Source organism: Homo sapiens, chromosome 11, assembly GCF_000001405.40.
Source record: "Homo sapiens chromosome 11, GRCh38.p14 Primary Assembly".
Taxonomy (NCBI): domain Eukaryota; kingdom Metazoa; phylum Chordata; class Mammalia; order Primates; family Hominidae; genus Homo; species Homo sapiens.
The window spans coordinates 9103602-9124185 of NC_000011.10; the positions used below are offsets into that span (position 1 = coordinate 9103602).

A 20584-nucleotide genomic window follows, 5' to 3' on the forward strand; every position below is an offset into this window, starting at 1 on the left:
AGTTTACTGCGTGAGTACTAGCAATTCCTGTTCCAGTGCTCAGGCCAGAGAGTTAATATTTGTGTAGCTATCAAAGGAACACAGTCTGGGAGTGAACAGGCAAGCAGCTTCCCATGCACTGTCCCCATGCAGAGACCCGCTTTCTTCTGTGGTCACTGTGGCTGTTGCCACAGTCTTAGCTGATGTGATGGGCCCTAGGCCCAGCTCAGCTGGCTCGGAGCCCTACAGTGCCGTGGACTTCTCCTGAAACATACACACATGCAGCCAGCAGCCAGGCCTGTCCCTATGTGTGCTAGTGCTGTCACCTGGTGTGTCTCCACTACTCATGTGCATGTACCATTGTCCCACCAGACTTTAGTTACAAAACACAAGTTGAAAGATGAAATTTAGAAATTTCAAGATGGTAACAGCAAGGCCTAACACCAAACATGGGGCCCTTCTGAGAACAGGGCCCTATCTGTCTGGCTGTACAGGTTGCACACTCTGAAAGCCAGCCACACTCATGGATATGGCATTCGAGAACCCTCCCCCCTCCTTTTTTTTTTTTTTGAGACGGAGTTTCCCTTTTGTTGCCCAGGCTGGAGCACAATGGCGCTATCTTGGCTCACTGCAGCCTCTGCCTCCCAGGTTCAAGCAATTCTCCTGCCTCAGCCTTCTGAGTAGCTGGGACTACACCACGCCTGGCTAATTTTTATATTTTTAGTGGAGACGGGGTTTCACCATGTTGGCCAGGCTGGTCTCGAACTCCCGACCTCAAGTGATCTGCCCGCCTTGGCCTCCCAAAGTATCAGGATTACAGGCATGAGCCACTGTGCCTGGCCATCAAGAGCCCTTATAATCTGCCTCTTGTCTTTCATCCAAGCCTTGTGAGGCCCCATCTCTCAAACAAGTGCACCCAATTTCCAGCCCTCCCAAACTGCTCCACAACTCCAAGCCTTTGTCCAGCCCCTCTACCTCGAACATTCTTCCTGGCCACAGCTCATCCTTTGAGACTTGCTGTAGTATCACCTTCCCAGAGTCTTTCCTAACAAACCCCCTCCTGGCCTGGGGTGGACACTTCTCTTGTGTGTCCCCACAGTCTGCTGCACAAATTCTAATCATAGCATCCAACATACAGTCATAGCCGTCAAAGTCCATGACTGCCTTCACAGGTTATGGACTTCGAGCCTCATAAGGGCATGTGGTCTCTATGATTCACCTCTGCATTTTCCAGGCTCAGCTAGGTCTGGAACACAGCAGACACTCAGAAAAGGTTTGTTGAAAGAGTAGATACAGGTTCTCAAGAATAAAGTATTAGGATCTGAGCTCGTTTTATTATTCTCGTAACCAGGAAGTCATAGACACTACCTAAAGAAACGGCCAGTAGGCCGGGCACGGTGGCTCACGCCTATAATCCCAGCACTTTGGGAGGCAGAGGCAGGCAGATCATGAGGTCAGAAGATCAAGATCATCCTGGCTAACATGGTGAAACCCCGTCTCTACTAAAAATACAAAAAAAATTAGCCAGACGTGGTGGCACACACCTGTAGTCCCAGCTACTCAGGAGGCTGAGGCAGGAGAATCACCTGAACCCAGGAGGCAGAGGTTGTAGTGAGCCAAGATTGTGCCACTGCACTCCAGCCTGGGCGACAGAGCAAGACTCCATCTCAAAAAAAAAAAAAAAAAAAAAAAAGAAAAAGAAATGGAGAGCAAAGGACATCATAGAAGGTTATAATTATAAAGGCAACTACAAGAAGAAAAATCCAAGATTCCTAAATAGCAGAAGAGCCATGTACACAAAACTGACCTCAAGACAAAGAAATGATGGAGGCCAATTTATATGGAAGAGATAGAGAAGACTGTCAAAGAGTTACCCTACCCCTGAAAAAAACAGCAGGCCCAGGCAATTTCACAAGGGAAATTTGAACAAACTTTTAAAATGTAAATATTCCAATGTTTTTTAATTGTTCCAAAGCATTGAAAAAAACTTTCAAATTCTTTATGAAGCAAGTATACCATTGATACCAAAACTTAATACTGTACACAAAAAAGCAAGCTATAGATCAATATCACTTATGACCATAAGTTAAGAACCCTCAATAAGAACTATCAATCAGATTTCAACATCATAACCAAGTGGGATATATTTCAGGGTGCAAGTATGGTTTAATATTATGAAATCTACTTACATAATTAATCACAATAAATTTGAATATTATAGATTTGAGAGGGAAATCATATGATCACCTCCATAGACACTAAAGGCATTTGAAACAATATTCTTGATCAAAACATTCAATAAGGTAGAGAAAGATACCATCTTAACATGAAAAAAAAAATTATCTCGACCCAATACCAACATCAGACTTAATGGGGAAACACTAGAAGCGTCTCCATTAAATTCTGAAACAACAAAACAAAGATGGTCATGTCAACACTATTTAATACTTTACTGGGTGTGTTGGGTGAATCAACTAGATTAAAATAAACTAGTGGTATAAAAATTAGAAGAGAGGAACTATTGCAGGAAATATAATTGTATATCTTGAAAACACCAGGAAATATGCTAAAAATCTACTACAGCAAAAAGAAAATACAACAAAATTAGTCAGGAACAAAATTAATTTACAAACATCAAGTTTTATCAATATAAGTAACATGGTGCAAGAAAAGACCTTATTTCTATTAGAAACAAAAAAAATTCAATACCTGGCAACAAACTTAGCAAGAAATAGTCAAGGCCCATGTGAGGAAAATGTATAACATGCTACTAAACATAACCCCCCTCAAAAAATTTAAACAAATGGAAATATAACACGCTCTTGGATAGAAATCCTCAACACCATAAAGCTGTAAATTCTCCATCGCTTAATTTAAAAATTTTAATGTAATCCAACAAACATACGAATAGGCTTTTTTGGCTAAAAAATTTGAGTCTAAAAGTTCATATAGAAAAAGAAAGAAGCAAAAGTAGCAATAAAAAATGTAAAGAAGAGCAAGGAGCAAGGGGGAGGTGGGTCAGTACTCCTAGATGTAAAAGGATGTTATGAAGCCTCAGTCATCACAACAATGTAGTGCTGGCCTGTAAGTTGGAGACAGATAGAGGCTAATGGAGTAGAATATCACATTCAGAAATAGTCTCAAAATCATATATGGATACACTATCATAAAACTGACATCTCAAGTCATTGGAGAAATTACGGACCACTAAATAAGCAGTACTGGGACAAATAAGCAGCCACTTAGACAAAAATAAAGTTGAATCCACTCTTCATGGCTCTCTAGGTTAACTTCAAATGCGTAAAAAATTTAACTTTTTTAAAAAAACCTCACAAATGCTAAAAGAAAAATGGAAAAATACCTTTCATCTTGTAGTAAGGAAAGCCTTCTATCACCCAAAATCCAGAAGCTATATAAGATCAAGAAGTTCAACTGTACCAAAACGAAAAACTACTCTGCATGTTTAAAAAACACTGAAAGTAAAGTTGAAGAATAAATATTAAACCAGGGAAAAGTTTTCATATCAAATCACAAAGAAGTAATCTCCCTAATATATAACAGGAGTCACTAGCGGTCAATAAGACTTCTAAGTAACCCAACAGAAAATAGGCAAAGAACATGGATAGACAAGAAATATAAATAAATTTTAAACACATGAAAATATTCTTAGCCTCATGCATAATGAATAAAATACAAAATAAAACACTAAGATAGAAATGTTTACTTACTGAGTACACTGACAAAAATCCAAAGTTTGATAACACTCTCACAGTGAGACTGGGAAAACAGGCATTTCAAACATTGGTGGTGAGAGTGTATATTGACATAAGTTCTATAAAGATAAATCTCAAATTATCTATTTAAATTTTAAAAGTATTTATCTTTTCGGCCGGGCACGGTGGCTCACGCCTGTAATCCCAGCACTTTGGGAGGCTGAGACGGGTGGATCACATGAGGTCAGGAGTTCGAGACCAGCCTAACCAATATGGTGAAACCCTGTCTCTACTAAAAATACAAAAATTAGCCGGGTGTGGTGGCAGGCACCTGTAGTCCAGCTACTCGGGAGGCTGAGACAGAAGAATTGCTTGAACCTGGGAGACGGAGGTTGCAGTGAGCCAAGACTGTGCCACTGCACTCCAGCCTGGGCAACAGAGTGAGACTCCATCTCAAAAAAAAAAAAAGTATTTATCTTTTCACCCAACAATTTTACTTTTGGCAATTTATTCTACTGATAGACTCTTATGTGCAAAATGACGTATGTACAATGCTATTCACCACAGCATTGTTTGTAGCAGCAAAATATTAGAAACAATTCAAATGGCCATCAAGTTGACTAGGGAACTAGAAATATAAATTACATGACATTCATAAAATAGAACATTAAGTAGCTATAAAAATGAATGAAGGTGCTCTATATGTTCTAATATGGAAAGATCTCCAAGATACGGTTTTAAATGGGAAAAAAGTACAGAACAGTGCATATATTTTGCTACTTTTTGTGTAAAGAAGGAAGAGAATATGTACTTGTATTTGCTTGTATATACATAAAGAATCTCTAGAAAGATACATAAGAAAAAGAAGATGGTTACCAAAGGCACGGATGGGAATGGATAGATGGGAGTCAAGGATGGGAGGGGGACTTTCTCTTTATACTTTGAGTTGTTGACATTGTGACTATATTATCATGAGAGGAGGAGAAGCAGGAGGAGGAGGAGGAGAACTGGAGTAGAGGTGATTTTTATTGTCATAACTACCAAAGTACTTAAAACTGAATGAAGTCCAGATCACAGTCACTTTTGAGAATCTCATTGCTTATCAGGTGGGATTTTTCAATGTGAGATTTGCTCATAGTTCATTTTCAGCCACAGAGTACAGCACTGACTTTCAACTGCTGCCTTAGAATTGTTGACATGATTATGGTGAATTATACCCCTGACCAATCTGGGCTAAAAAGGCAACAGATAACATCTTTTAAATTTTTGTGGCAACATTGGTAACTATTGCCTACAGGCTGTGAGAAAAGAATAGGCAATCAAAACTCACACACACACACACACACACACACACACACACACACACTTTGGCCAGTGTGATTCTATATATGGTTAAAATCATCATATAAGATTGCTGATATTGGCTGGGTGTGGTGTCTCAGGCCTGTAATCCCAGCACTTTGGGAGACTGAGGTGGGTGGATCATGAGGTCAGGAGTTCGAGACCAGCCTGACCAACATGGTGAAATCCTGTCTCTACTAAAAATACAAAAATTAGCCAGGCACGGGTGCGGGTGCCTGTAGTCCCAGCTACTTGCGAGGCTGAGGCAGGAGAATGGCTTGAACCCGGGAGGCGAAGGTTGCAGTGAGCCCAGATTGTGCCACTGCACTCCAGCCTAGGCGACAGAGCAAGACTCGGTCTCAAAAAAAAAAAGATTACTGATATTAGGAATGCCGTAATCCTTTTAAATTAGCTCGCAGAGCCTATTAATGAGATAATGAGTTAAGATGTGACCTGTGAGTCCTTATAATTATCTACAATTCAGTTATTGCAGGTAATTGTCTACCCTTTCACTTATTAATAGGTCAACAAAAAGTCAGCTTGTTAATTAGCTATTTCTGAAATATTGTTCATACCAGTAATCAAGGGAAAAGAAAAGGAAGAGAAAAAGAAAAAGAAAGAAAATAGAGTTTGATATGGTTTGGCTGTGTTCCCCCTCAATCTCATCTTGAATTGTAATCCCCATAATCCCTTCATGGGAGGCACCCAGTGGGAGGTAATTGAATCATGGGGGCAGTTTCCCCCATGTTGTTCTCGTGATAGTGAGTGAGTTCTCACAAAATCTGATGGTTTTATAAGCGTCTGGCATTTTCCCTGCTGGTACTCATTCTCTCTCCTGCCGCCCTGTGAAGAGCTACCTTTCACCATGATTGTAAGTTTCCTGAGGTCTCCCTAGCCATGTGGAACTGTGAGTCAATTTAACCTCTTTTCTTTATAAGTTACCCAGTCTCGGGTATTTTTTTCATAGTAGCATGAGAATGGAGTAATACAGAGTTCATATATCTTGTATCAAAAACTAGGCATCATATGTGACAAAAGCAGCAGGGACTTTATATAAATATATTTGTAGAAAAAATAGCCCCTGTTTTTATCTTGCTACCATGACTCCAAAGGGGTGAAGCCAAAGTTTCTACAATGAACATGCATTACCTTTATAATTAATAAAAGAGGCCAGGCGTGGTGGCTCATGCCAGGCGTGGCATCCCAAAGATTTGGGAAGCCAAGGCGGGAGGATTGCTTTAGCCCAGGAGTTTGAGACTAGCCTGGGCAACATAATGAGACCCTGTCTCAACTAAGTAACTAACTAACTAAATAAATAAATAAATGAAGCTAGGCACAGTGGTGTGCGCCTATCTATAGTCCTAGCTACTCATGAGGCTAAGGCAGGAGGATTGCTTGAGCCCAGGAGTTCAAGAAACAGTAAGCTATGATCATACCACTGCACTCCAGACTGGGTGACAGAGCAAGACAGGAAAAAAAAGAAAGAAAAGAAAAGGAATTTTAAAATGTAAACAAGTACAGGCTGAGCATGCAGACAGGCCTGATGTTAACTCTGATTCTGTCATTTATTATCTACAGAATCTTGGGCAGGTTGCTTTAACCTCTCTGAGTCTCAGTTTTCCCACATGTAAACTGAAGATAATCATACCTGCTTTCCAGGGCTGAAGTGAGCTGTGGATGGACGATGTGTGTGAAGCACTGAGTGCAGGCTGTGGCACAGAGTAGGCACACAGTAAAAAGGATTCCCACCCCCCACCCACCCAGTGGAGGCAAGACCCATGGAAGTCAAGCCCAACCTGGACCACAGTTCCTGAGTTTCTCCATTCAGGCTATTCTGTGGCTGTGTAAAAGAACAGGTACTTGTCCCTGCTTGTTGGAAGAAACCTGGTTATTAATCCATACCCATCCCATGACTGTAATTAGGACACCTGGAATTTTTGGAAATAAAGTAGCTCTGTCCAGATCCCAGAAGGGTGTTTTCCTTATTATGCTAGTGAAAAGGTTTCAGTGCAGGAAATGGAAATGGCTGTAGATATTGTAAGCAGAAAGGTCTACAATAGAGAGAACTAAGAGCTTACAAAATGATTAGAAGAGCTGGAGGGGTGAGCTCTAGACTGAACTTCAGGAAGGATTTTTAGGAGACAACAGAACTGACCCAGCTGGGAGGCCACTACTTCTCAGCAACCATGGGACAAACTTCAAGAACTCACTAAGTAGTTCAGACACCTGAGCTTGAACTCTGTCGCTTGTTATCCATGTAACCTTGAACACATTGCTTGAATTCTCAAGAATCAAGACAAGGAAGTTGGCATCATAGCCACTGCTTCTCTGTACCTATAATCTGGTTAATAGATTCATCACCACAATCTTTTTTAATCAAAAACAAACAAAGCTAAAACCAATTGGGAAACAGCCTCTGCCTCATCTAAACTTTTCAAATCTCACATAAGTACATTTCACTAGTAGAAAGTCATGTCCAGAACCCTAGCTGCGAGGGAGCTTAGAAATGCCATTTTTTAGCTTGTCAGGCTCTCAGTGCAGAAAGGCATACGAGAAACAAATTTATCACAGAAAGTCATTCTCTTGGAAATTGGGGCAACCTCAGCCAACACCTATTTGTCTGCATAGGCTCCAAGAGTAGTCATGAGTTTATGCTCATTACGCTCACTGGAAGATGTAGTAGGCATTTGGCTGCCTTGTAAGTATACATCACTCCTTCTCTCTAACAATGCCCAGCTTTTAATTTATTAATTTCATTCGGATATCTACCGCTCCTCTAAGCAACACATGCCTTCGGAAAACTGACCCCAATTCCAGCTCCAGGGGTGGAACCTAATTAAATTAGCACATCCCATCTTTCTGGTCACAGACATTGGTCTAAAGGCAGGCATGTTAACAAAGCCAGAAGAATCATGATGAGAAGCAAGAATTCAAGAATTTTGCTTGAATTGCTGACACAAAAGCACTCTCATGTCTGCTTGATGTAATCAAGAAAACAAGTAGTCCTTGCTTCTGTCTTGCTACCATGGATGAAGCCAACCTGAGGAAAAAGCTCATACACAGAAGAGGGAAGAGCCTGGAATCTCAGAGAAATAGAACTGGGCCCTGCTCAAACCTTACCTGAACTCTATATTAGAGTTATGTAGAAAGAGATTGATTAATGGGTTTAGCAGCAGCTAAAGTGAATTGGAAAACAGATTGGAAGAAAATATCCACAATGAATAACCAGATTCATGGAGAGGCAAAGGGATTGAAAATACAGATATGAACATAAAAGACATACAGAATACAGTGCTAAGGTCTAACGTATGTGTAAACAGAATCCTGGAAGGACAGGGGAGAAAATTTGAAAAAGCAGTATCTAAAGAGATAGTGGATGAAGAATTTCTAAAACTGACAAAAGACAAAGCCCCAGATTCAGGACACATTGTGAAACCCACGCTGAATAAATACCACATTCAGGCAAATAATAGTAAATTATTTTTAAAAAATGACAAAGAAACAATATCAAAAACAGTAAAGAATCGAGAGATTACCTTGACTGGAACAACAACAATGAGGCTGCCAGGTAACTTATCAGTGGAAACTGTAGAAGCCAGAGACAATGGAATATCTTCAAAGTTCTGAAAGAAAATAAGCGCTAATCCAGAATTTCATACCCAGCTAACATGTCCTTCTAAAGGATGAGATGATTTAACTCCAGCAAACCCCTGTTAATGGAAAATACTGAAGGGTGTTCTTGAAGCAGAAGAATATAGGCATTCTAGACACAGGCATTAATGAAGAACATCAAAAAAGGGGGAAGGCTAGATAACTATTGTATTTTTAAAATAATAACAATAATGTAATAACATCTAATGGGTTTAAATATATACATTTAATATTCAATATATTTTTATTACATATATTTATTGTTGTACATAATATATATATGTGTATATATATATAGAGAGAGAGAGAGAGAGAGAATTAAAATATATAACAACAGTAACATATAAGTCCAGACAAGAAATGAAGTTATTCTAAAGGTCCTTACATTGTCTGGAAAGAGAAAGAGTAATAATTTAGATTAGACATTGATAAGCCAGTGCATATTATAATTTCATGGGTCACTACTAAAGGAAGAGTAAAGGAATAGAATTACCAAGCTAACAGAAGGGGAAAATAAAATAATTGAAGAATTCAAAGAATTGAAATTATACAGATTGTGTAAGTGTGTCTTGGACACAGCTTAAGCTAAAACTAATAAGAAAAAGAACAGCAAATTAAACCCAAGGAAACAACCCAAGTAATTAATCACACTGCTTTATTAAAAGAGAAAAAAAGTACATAATTATCTCAATAGGGGCACAAAAATCTTCTGATAAAAGTCAACATCCGGCCGGGTGCGGCAGCTCGGGCCTATAATCCCAGCACTCTGGGAGGCCGAGGCAGGCGGATCACGAGGTCAGGAGATCAAGACCAGCCTGACCAACATGGTGAAACCCCGTCTCTACTAAAAATACAACAAATTAGCTGGGTGTGGTGGCAGCCACCTGTAGTCCCAGCTACTCGGGAGGCTGAGGCAGGAGAATGGCATGAACCCGGGAAGCGGAGCTTGCAGTGAGCTGAGATTACGCCAGCCTGGGTGACAGAGCGAGACTCCTTCTCAGAAAAAAAAAAGTCAACATCCATTTATGATAATAATGCTTAGCAATCTAAGAGTAGAAGGGAATTCTCTTAATCTGATAAAGAATATCTACCCCAAACCTAGAGCAAACTCACATTTAATGGTGAAAACTTAAAAGCTTCTCTGCAACAGGGAACACAGTAGAATACCTGCTATCATCACTTCACCATTGTACTAGGAATCCTAGGTAAGTCAATAAGACAAGAAAAAGAAATTAAGTCTAAGGGTTGGAAAGGGATAAAAATGAATTATTCACAAACAGTATCAGTGTGGATTTAGAAACTTTTTAAAAGTACAGGCATACCTCAGAGATATTATGGGTTCAATTCCAGACCACCACAATAAAGCAAATATTACAATAAAGTGAGTCACACAAATTTTTTTGTTTCCCATTGCATATAAAAGTTATGATTGGGCAGGAATGGTGGCTCACATCTGTAATCCCAGCACTTTGGGAGGCCAAGGTAGGTGGATTGCTTGAGCTCAGGAGTTCAAGGCTAGCTTGGGCAACATGGCAAACCCGTCTCTACAAAAATTACAAAAATTAGCTGGGCATGGTGGCACAAGCCTGTGGTCCTAGCTACTTAGGAGGCTGACAGGTGGAAGGATTACTGGAGCCCAATAGGTCAAGGCTGCAGTAAGCTTAGATCATGCCACTGTACGCCAGCCTAGGCAACAGAATGAGACCCTGTCTCAAAAAAAAAAAAAAAAGTTATGTTTACACTACACTATAGTCTATTGTACAATAGCATAATGTCTAAAAATGTACATTCTTTAATTTAAAAATACTTTATTGCTGAAAATGCTAACAGTCATCTGAGTCTTCAGCGAGTTGTAATCCTTTTGCTGGTGGAGGGTCTTGCCTCAATATTGATGGCTGCTGACTGCTCAGGGTGGTGGTTGGTTGCTGAAGGCTAGGGTAACTGTGACAATTTCTGAAAATAAGACAACAATGAAGTTTGCCACATAATTGACTCTTTCTTTCACAAAAGATTTCTCTATAGCATGCAACGCTGTTTGATGGGATTTTTACCCACAGTAAAACTTCTTTCAAAATTGGAGCCAATCCTCTCAAACCCTGCCGCTGCTTAATCAGCTAAGTTTACATAATTTTCTACCTCTTCTGTTGTCATTTCAACAGTGTTCACAGCATCTTCACCAGGAGTAGATTCCATTTCAAGAAACCACTTTCTTTGTTTATCCATAAGAAGCAACTTCAAGTTTAATCATAAGATTACAGCAATTCAGTCACATCTTGAGGCTCCACTTTTAATCCTAGTTCTCTTGCTGTTTCTGCCACATCAGTAATTACTCCCTCCACTGAAATCTTGAACCTGTCAGAGTCATGCATGAGGGCTGGAATCAACTTCTCCCAAATTCCCATTAATGTTGATATTTTGACCTCCTTCCATTAATCATAAATGTTCTTAATAGCATCTAGAATGGTGAATCCTTTATAGAATATTTTCGTTTTGCCCAGGTCCATCAGAGGAATCACTATGTATGGCAGCTATAGCCTTATGAAATGTATTTCTTCAATAAGACATGGAAGTCACACCTACTCCTTGATCTATGGGCTGCAGAATGAATGCTGTGTTAGCAAGCATGAAAACAACATGAATCTCCCGTACATCTCCATCAGAGAGCTCTTGAGTGACTAGGTGCATTGTCAATTAGCAGTAGTATTTTGAAAGGAGTCTTTTTTTTTTTTTTTTTTTGAGCAGTAGGTCTCAACAGTGGGCTTAAGAGATTCAGTAAATCATGCTATAAACAGATGTGCTGTCATCCCAGCTTTGTTGTTCCATTTATAGAGCACAGGCTGAGTAAATGAGCACTGGCTTCAACTTAAAGTCACTAGCTGTATTCGTGCCTAACAAGAGAGTCGGCCTGTCCTTTGAAACTTCAAAGCCAGGCACTGACTTCCCCTCTCTAGCCATGAAAGTCCTAGATGGCATCTCCTTCCAAGAGAAGGCTGTTTCATCTACCTTGAAAGTCTGCTGTTTAGAGTAGCCACCTTCATCAGTGATCTTAGCTAGATCTGGATAACTTGCTGTAGCTTCTCTATCAGCACTTGCTGCTTCACCTTGCCCTTTTACACTATGAAGATGGCTTCTTTCCTTAAACCTCATGAACCAACCTCTCCTAGCTTCTGACATTTCTTCTGCAGCTTCCTCACCTATCTCAGCCTTCGCAGAGCTGAAGAGAGTTAGGGCCTTGCTCTGGATTAGTCTTTGGTTTAAGGGGATGTTGTGGCTGGTTTGATCTTCTATCCAGACCACTAAAACTTTCTCCATATCAGCAATAAGGCTATTTGACTTTCTTATCATTCATATGTTCACTAAAGTAGCACTTTTAATTTCCTTCAAGAACTTTTCCTTTGCTTTCCCAACCTGGCTAACTGTTTGGGGCAACAGGCCTAGTCTTCAGCCTATCTCAGCTTTTGACATGCCTTCCTCACTAAGCTTAATCATTTCTAGCTTTGAATTTAAAGTGAGAGACTTGCAACTCTTCCTTTCACTTGAACACACAGAGGCTACTGTAGGATTATAATTTCAATATTGTTTTGTTTCAGGGAATAGGGAGGCCTGAGGAGAGGGGGAGAGATGGGAGACGGGCCAGTCAGTGGAGTAGTGAGAATATACACAACATTTATTAAATTTGCGAGCTTACATAGGCATGGTTTGTGGTACCCCAAAACAATGACAATAGTAACATCAAAGATAACTGATTACAGATCACCCTAACAGATATAATAATTAACAGGTGTGAAATACTGCAAGAATTACCAAAATGTGACACACAGACATGAAGTGAACACATGCTGTTGGAAAAATGGCGCCAACAGACTTGCTCAATGCAAGATTGCCACAAACCTTCAATTTGTAAAAAAAAAAAAAATGCAGTATCTGTGAAGGACAGCAAGGCAAAGTACAGTAAAACAAGCTATGCTTGTCCAGATAAAGTCATTACAATTAATATGGCTAACTGTACTATTGTTCACAAATATTCTACGTGCCTCCCTGCCTTGTTAAACTTAAACATACCTATGTGATTTACTTTGGCTAAGTGGTGTGTGTATCTTCTGGGAAGAAGCTTTAGGAGCCAGCTCAGGGTTAACCATGTTCTCTGTTTTCTGTACGTATGAGAATCTTGAAGCATGTGCTGAGACAGATCCTCTATCAGTCTGGGTCCATGAGCGACTTCAAAGGGCAGGGCTTCCATGCAGATCTGTAGTGGATTTATAGTGTAAGTGAAAGGCAAATGCTGTTTAAAGAAGTGAAAGTTTTTGTTTTTTACTGTAGCATAACCTAGCTTATCCTGATGGACACACTTGAGGTTTCTGGATGTGAGAAACATCAAATGTATTTCTATAAAGTAACAGCAACAAATAGGAAGTTTAAAAAAAAATTTTTTTTTTGAGGGACAGGATCTTGCTTTTTTACCCAGGCTGGAATGCAGTGGCATGATCACCATTTACTGCAGTCTCAAACTCCTGGGCTCAAGTGATCCTCTTGCCTCAGCCTCTCGAGCAGCTGGGATTACAGATGCATGCCACCATACTCAGCTAATTAAAAAAAAAAAATTTGTAGAGACAGGTTCTTGCTATGTTGCCTAGGCTGGTCTTGAACTCCTGGGCTCAAGTGATCCTCCCACCTTGGCCTCCAAAGTGCTGTAACTACAGGCATGTGCCACTGCACCCAGCTGAAAGTAAAAATTTAAAGGTACTGTTTGTAATAGCATAAAAAATAGTGAGTACCTTTGGGACAAATATAATAAAATATGTGAAAGACCTCTACCCAGGAAACAATAAGACATTAGAGAATTAAAGAAGATCTAAATTAATGAATATAACATATTCATGGATTCAAAGACTCAATATTATGAAGATGCCAACATTTCTCACATTGATCTACAGATTAAATGCAATCTCAATAAAAAATATTAGCAGTGTTGTTCATGGAAATTGACAAGCTGATTCTATAATATATGGAAATGCAAAGAATAAAAAATAGTCAAGACATTCTTAAAAAGAAGAACAAGATGGAAATACTATTAAGTATCAAGACTTATTATAAAGCTACAGCAATTAACTTTGATATTGGCACATAGGTAAACAAATAGACCAATCCCCTTTCTGCGGGTCCAGAAAGGGACCCACATATGTAGAACCTTCTTTTTTGTTTCTTGTTTTTGAGATGAAGTCTTACTCTGTTGCCCAGTCTGGAGTGCAGTAGCACGATCTCGGCTCACTGCAAACTCCATCTCCCAGGATCAAGCGATTCTCCTGCCTCAGCCTCCTGAGTAGCTGGGACTACAGGCACATACCACCACACTCAGCTAGTTTTTGTATTTTTAGTAGAGATGGGGTTTCACCATGTTGGCCAGGCTGGTCTTGAACTCCTGACCCCAGGTCATCTGCCTGCCTCAGCCTCCCAAAATGTTGGGATTACAGGCATGAGCCACCGCGTCCAGCCTGGACCCTTCATTTTTGAAAAAGGTAGTGCTTCAGAGTAGTGGAGAAAGGGCAATCCTTTCAATAAACAGAATTGGGTCCTTTTTTCTTTAAGTTTTTCTTCTCTTTACCTACTGTCTATTTCTTCCATGTTTTAGCCATTGGATATCCATATTTTTTAAAAAAACTTAAAAATAAAACAACAAAACACCGTATACATTTAAAAAAAATCAATCCAGGTGGATCATGGATCAAAATGTGAAGGGTAGAACAATTAATCCTCTAAAGATAATATAGGAAAATATCTTTATAACCTTTTCTATGGTAAGGAAAGATTTCTTAAATAGGATTCAAAAAACACTAAACATAGAAGAAAAGATTGGATTACGTCAAAATTTAAAACTTCTATTCATCAAAATTCACCATTAACAGAGTATAGGCAAAGCACAGAGTGAAAGATACCGTGATATGTATTACCAACTAGTAGTTATATCCAGAATATATAAAAAACTATTATAAGCCAAGAAGAAAAGAGCTGAAAAACTAATAGAAAAATGGGCAAGAAACTTGAACGGGCACTTCATCAGAAAGGATATCCAAGTAGTCAATACACATATGAAAAAACATTCGACATCATTAGTCATCATGGAAATGCAAATTAAAACCACAACAAGATACCACTGGATTCCCACCAGAATGGCTAAAAATAAGAAGATTGATGATATCAAGTGTTGTCCAGGATGCAGCACAAGAAGAACACTCATCTCATGCTGATGGGAGTGAAAATTGATATAACCACTCTGGAAAAGAGTTTGACACATGCTACCTGCCAGCAATTCTTCTCCTATGTATACATGCCCAGCAGAAATGTATGTACACTCACACAAAAAACTCTCAAAGGATGTTCTTAGCACCATTATTCATAATAACCAAAGACTGGTAATAACCCAAATACCCATCAACAGCAGAAAAAAAAAAAAAAAAAAAAAAAGCTTCATATTACATGGTATATTCATACTATTCAGCAATTAAAATTAATGGACTTCAGCCGGGCATGGTGGCACATGCCTGTAATCCCAGCAATTTGGGAGGCTGAGGCAGGAGGATTGCCTGAGCTCAGGAATTTGAGACTAGCCTAGACAACATGGTGAAACCCCATCTCTACAAATACAAAAGTTAGCCAAGCACAGTGGTGCATGCCTGTAGTCCCAGCTACTTGGGAAACTGAGGTGGGAGGATCACTTGAGAGGCTGCGGTGAGCCAAGATCATGCCACTGCACTCCAGCCTGGGCAACAGAGTGAGACCCTGTCTCAAAAATTTTAAAAAATAAAATTAATGAATGTCAGCTACATTTTAATAAATGGACGAATTTTACAAAGTTAATGTTGAGCAAAATAATACACACCATATGATTTCATTTGTAATAAGTTCAAGAATAGGCCATTAGCTCTCAAAGTGTTGTCCCGGGCCAGCAGCATCAGCATCACCTGGTAACTTGTTAGAAATGAACATTCTTAGGCCAGGTATGGTGGCTCACATCTGTAATCCCAGCACTTTGGGAGGCTGAGGCGGGCGGATCATGAGGTCAGGAGTCTGAGACCAGCCTGGCCAACAGTGAAACTCCGTCTCTACTAAAAATACAAAAAATTAGCCAGCCATGGTGGCGGGCGCCTATAATCCTAGCTACTTGGGAGGCTAAGGCAGGAGAATCACTTGAACTTGGGAGGCAGAGGTTGCAGTGAGCCGAGATCACACCACTGCACACCAGCCCAGGTGACAGTGTGAGACTCCATCTCAAAAAAAAAAAAACAAAAAAAAGAAATGAACATTCTTGGGTTCTACCCTAGACCTATTGAACCAGAAACTTTAAGAGTGTGTCCCAGAAATATGTTTTAACAAATCTTCCAGGTGATTCTGTTATACACTTAAATTTGAAAATCACTGGAAACAACAAAATTAATTTATGGTGTTAGAAGTTGGGATAGTGATGGTTTGGGGTTTAGGAAAATGGGGAAGTGGAGCTCGGGGGCATGAGAGGGTTGTAGGGTCCCAGTGCTGTTCTGTTCCTTGGCCTGGTTGGGAAGTATTTCCAGCCTGTGATGATAGTTCACCGACCTACAAGTATACTTGGGATTTGTGCACTTCGTTGTTTACGTCTTATGTTTCATTTTAAAAAACTAAAACGCTTACTAGAAAGTGCTAGATAATAAAACTGAGGAAATCTTCCAAAAACAAAGCAAAAACAAAAAACAGAGATGGAAAAAATGAGTGAACAAAGAGATGCAGAACATATAATTTCTCAATAATAGATGTTCCAGAAAGAGAAACAGAGAAAAAGAAGGGAAGGAAACATCCAAGGGATAACTTGAGAAAAATTCTTAGAACTAAAGCTCATGAATTTCCAAATAAATTGAAAGGGCCTGTTTCTCCATGTTGGTCAGGCTCGTCTCGAACTCCTGACCTCAGGTGATTCACCTGCCTCGGCCTCCCAAAGTGCTTGGATTATAGGCGTGAGCCACTGCACCTGGCCCAGGATTGCTATTTTTTGTAGCAAATTTTATAGAACTGACTCTTTATGAGCATTCCAACTTTCATAACAACACAGCTAAAAGCAAAACATGATACTTTGATTGTGTGATCAGATGGGTCGATTAAGGTATCTCCACCTCCCCAGAAATGATGCCAAAGATAAGCATTTATTAAGAATGACGGGATGCTCACAATATCATGTTAAATGGAAAAAGCAGACTACAAAATGATGTGCATATTAATTCTGCTTTAAAAATTAGATGTAGAAGTGTGTGTGTACATAGAAGAAAGTCTGAAGGATACACACCAAAATGTTTGGAGTTACTCTTTCTTCTTGATGGGTGGAGAGGGGGTATTTTCTTCCATTTGTTTATGTTTGTAGCCCATATTTCTGCCATCTCAGTATCCTCAAATCTTCCAGATTAACGGGATCATGCTTTCTTTTAACATTGAAATAAAAATGGCTGAAATATTCGTCCTATGTCTTGTGCAAAGTCCATGGCCCTCCCCCAACACCGCTGCAAATTTCCTGGTGCTAGTAGCTGTCATGTTCACTCCAGTTTCCTCTTCCTGCTGCTCTCGATTTCCCTGGCATCCTGCTTTCTGCAGCTGTTCCCTTCTGTCTGCCCCTAGTTAACCCAAATATGGAACACTGCCCCTTTTCTTTGACTTCCCCCAAGGAGTATCTTACATGAGGCACTGCTGAGGGGCTACAGCCCTACATGGTACTATAGACAACTTAAAATCTACATGAACATCTCTGTTCTGACGTGTCCTGGCTGACCCTGCTTCTGGGAGATTTTCACTGGACGCTCACCAGGGGAGAGGGATGGCCTCACTTCTGCCCCCTCCAGGCTCCACTCTGTGCCTTCAGGATACTCACCTGCCACCAAGAGGACACAACAAAATCCTCAGGTTCTTTGTTTTCATATGCAGAGTATGAGGCCCTCCCTCACAAAATCCACTTCTTCCAGCAATAAGATCTTGTCTTTTATGTTGGAAATTTCATCAAGAAACCTTTTGAGAGTCATCTCCTCCAACTTGAAAAAGCAGCAGGAGTCGGTTCTGGTTGTCTTCCCACTCCGTGCATAATGATTGCGCATTTTCTATCATGACTGTGCATTGTTTTTGTAATTCAACTATTTTCAGCAAGAGAAGTATCAAAAGAAATCAGGAGTGGTTGTTGAAGCAGCATCCACCTGTGAGCAGGTGTAAACATCAAGTCCCAAGGGTCCAGCAACTACCCAAAACCTCCTGCTTTGTGCCAGGCTGAGGGAATGTTCACTAAGGCAGTGTGGCAGGTGGAGGCCAGGGCAGGCCCAGAGTTCCCTGGGGCTGCTGAGCCCAGTGTGGGCAGGTTGGCAACAGGACTCCAAAGAGACATGTAGCCAGTACAAACCATGCCCCAGCTAAGCGTGATGCCTTCCCCTTTCTTCCATATTGATATCACCTGCTCCAGGCCTGGCACAGGTGCAGCACCTTCCCCAGAAGCCTTCCCTGACGGCCTCCTTCTTCACCAGCTCTAGTATTTATCAGCTGTGTGGCAAGTTAGTTCACCTCCCCCATGCCTTGGTTTCCCCACCTATAAAATGAGGATAAGAATGTTTGTAAGAATCAAATGAGTAATATTTGTAAAGTACTTGTAACGGTGCTTGGCTTAGAGTTAGTACTCTATCATGTTACTCATCATCACCATCACCATTATGATTTCCACCATGCCCATGGAATCTGCCCTTGATCAAGACATCCACTTGGTCTTGTGTGGGAGGCTGCCTAGGGGAAGCAGGGCCTGATATTATTTATTTCTGTTCACATCCCAGCCAGCAAAGGTGCCAGCACTGAATTTATGCTCAGTACCTACCTGGCTGATTAAACTTTGGAAAGAAGCAGCAGGCCAGTTAAGAAACCACATGCAAGCATAACTGTCCTGAAACCCTACTTAGTTCTGTGACGTCCCTTCTTAGAAATTCTGAGTTTTCTTTCCCTAGACATGGTCACTATTTCTACCTAGATTCTTTCATAACCCACTCATCAGAGAAATGTAAGAACCAAAGTAAGACCTTTATCAGGAAAACTATAAAACACTGATGAAAGAAATAGAAGAGGATACAAACAAATGGAAAGCTATCCTATGCTCATGGATTGGAAGAATTAATATTGTTAAAATGACCATACTGCACAAAGCAATCTACAGATTCAATGCAATCCCTATCAAAATATCAATGTCATTTTTCAAAGAAATAGAAAAAAAAATCCAAAAATTCATATGGATCCAAAAAAGAGCCAGAATAGCCAAAATGATCCTAAGCAAAAAGAATGAAGTTGGCAAGCCAGGCACGGTGACTCACGCCTGTAGCCCTGGCACTTTGGAAGGCCAAGGTGGGCGGATTGCTTGAGCTCAGGAGTTCGAGACCAGCCTAGGCAACATGGCAAAACCCCGTCTCTACCAAAAATACAACAATTAGCCGGACATGGTGGTGCATACCTGTAGTCCCAGCTACTCAGGAGGCTGAAGCAGGAGGATCAGTCGAACCTGGGACGCAGAGCAGAGGTTGCAGTGAGCTGTGATCACACCACCACACTCCAGCGTGGGCAGCAAAGCCAGATCCTGTCTCAAAAAAAAGAAAAAGAATAATGTTGGAAGCATCATACTACCTGACTTCAAAATATATTACAAGGCTATAAGTAACCGAAACAGCATAGTATTAGTATAAACATAGACATGGACCAATGGAACAGAATAGAGAGCCCAGAAATAAAGCTACATATTTATAGCCAACTGATTCTCAACAAAGGCACCAAGAACATACACTGGGGAAAGGACACCCTCTTTAATAAGTGGTGCTGGAAAAATTGGATATTTATATGCAAAAGAATGAAACTGGGCCCCTATTTCTCACCATATACAAAATCCATCCTGAGTTCAAGATGGATTAAATACTTAAAAGACCTGAAGCTATAAATTACTAGAACAAAACAGGGAAAACACTTCAGAACATTGTTCTAGGCAAAGATTTTATGGCTAAGACCTCAAAAGCATAGAGAACTAAAACGAAAATAGACAAATAGGACTATATTAAACTAAAAAGCTTCTACGAAGCAAAGGAAACAATCAACAGAGTGAAGGGGCAGCCAGCTGAACAGGAGAAAGTATTTGCAAACTATTTATCTGGATATTAGTCCCAGATAATATCCAGAATATGCGAGGAACTCAACTCAACGGAAAAATAAACACATTAAAAATGGGCAATGGACACAAACACAATTCTCAAGAAAAGACAAACAAAAAAAAGAAAAAAACGAAAACAAATCAAGAAAAGACAAACAAATGGCCAAGTCTGTTAAAAAAAATACTCAACATCATGTAACAAACCTGCATGTTCTGCATATGTACCCCAGAACTTAAAGTATAATAAAAAAAAAAACTCAACATCACTAGTCATCAGGGAAATGCAAATAAAACCACAGTGAGGTATCCTCTTAACATCCGTTAAAATGGTTATTATTAAAAAGACAAAATATACAAATGCAAGTGAGAATGTGGAGAAAAGGGAACTCTTACACACTCTTGGTGGGGAATGTAAATTAGTACAACCACTATGGAAAACAGTATGAAGATTTCTCAAAAAACTAAAAATAGAACTACCATGTGATCCAGCAACCCCACTACTGGTTATCTCTACAAAGCAGACCCTCACCAGATACCAAATTTGCTGGTGCCTTGATCTTGGACTTCCTAGCCTCCAGAACTGTGAAAATAAATGTTTGTAGTTTATGGTATTTTGTTATAGCAGCCTAAGGTGACTAAGACATCTATTTCTAAACATTTAAATCCTCCTTTGTAGGACAAAGTTTTGCCAGCACAAGGAGTGTATTAGGTAATCAGTCTGGAAGTGAAG

The 20584-nt window shown here is 40.0% G+C and overlaps 1 long non-coding RNA gene across 1 annotated transcript, besides 1 other annotated feature; it reads right to left on the reverse strand.

Moving 5' to 3' along the window:
• Positions 1-8236: 8236 nt before the first annotated feature.
• Positions 8237-18812, reverse strand: LOC105376542 (uncharacterized). Its single transcript, XR_007062585.1, has 4 exons — positions 16993-18812; positions 12747-12930; positions 9798-9885; positions 8237-8656 (listed from the first exon to the last, which is right to left on the reverse strand). It is a non-coding gene; the product is annotated as an uncharacterized LOC105376542 (long non-coding RNA).
• Positions 17327-17990: an enhancer, noted in NCBI's record as "OCT4-NANOG-H3K27ac-H3K4me1 hESC enhancer chr11:9142475-9143138 (GRCh37/hg19 assembly coordinates)". NCBI's record gives its function as "activates a minimal SCP1, AML or CMV promoter by ChIP-STARR-seq in naive H9 embryonic stem cells {active_cell/tissue: H9 hESC(naive)}" and the evidence as "EXISTENCE:reporter gene assay evidence [ECO:0000049][PMID:30033119]".
• Positions 18813-20584: the final 1772 nt, after the last annotated feature.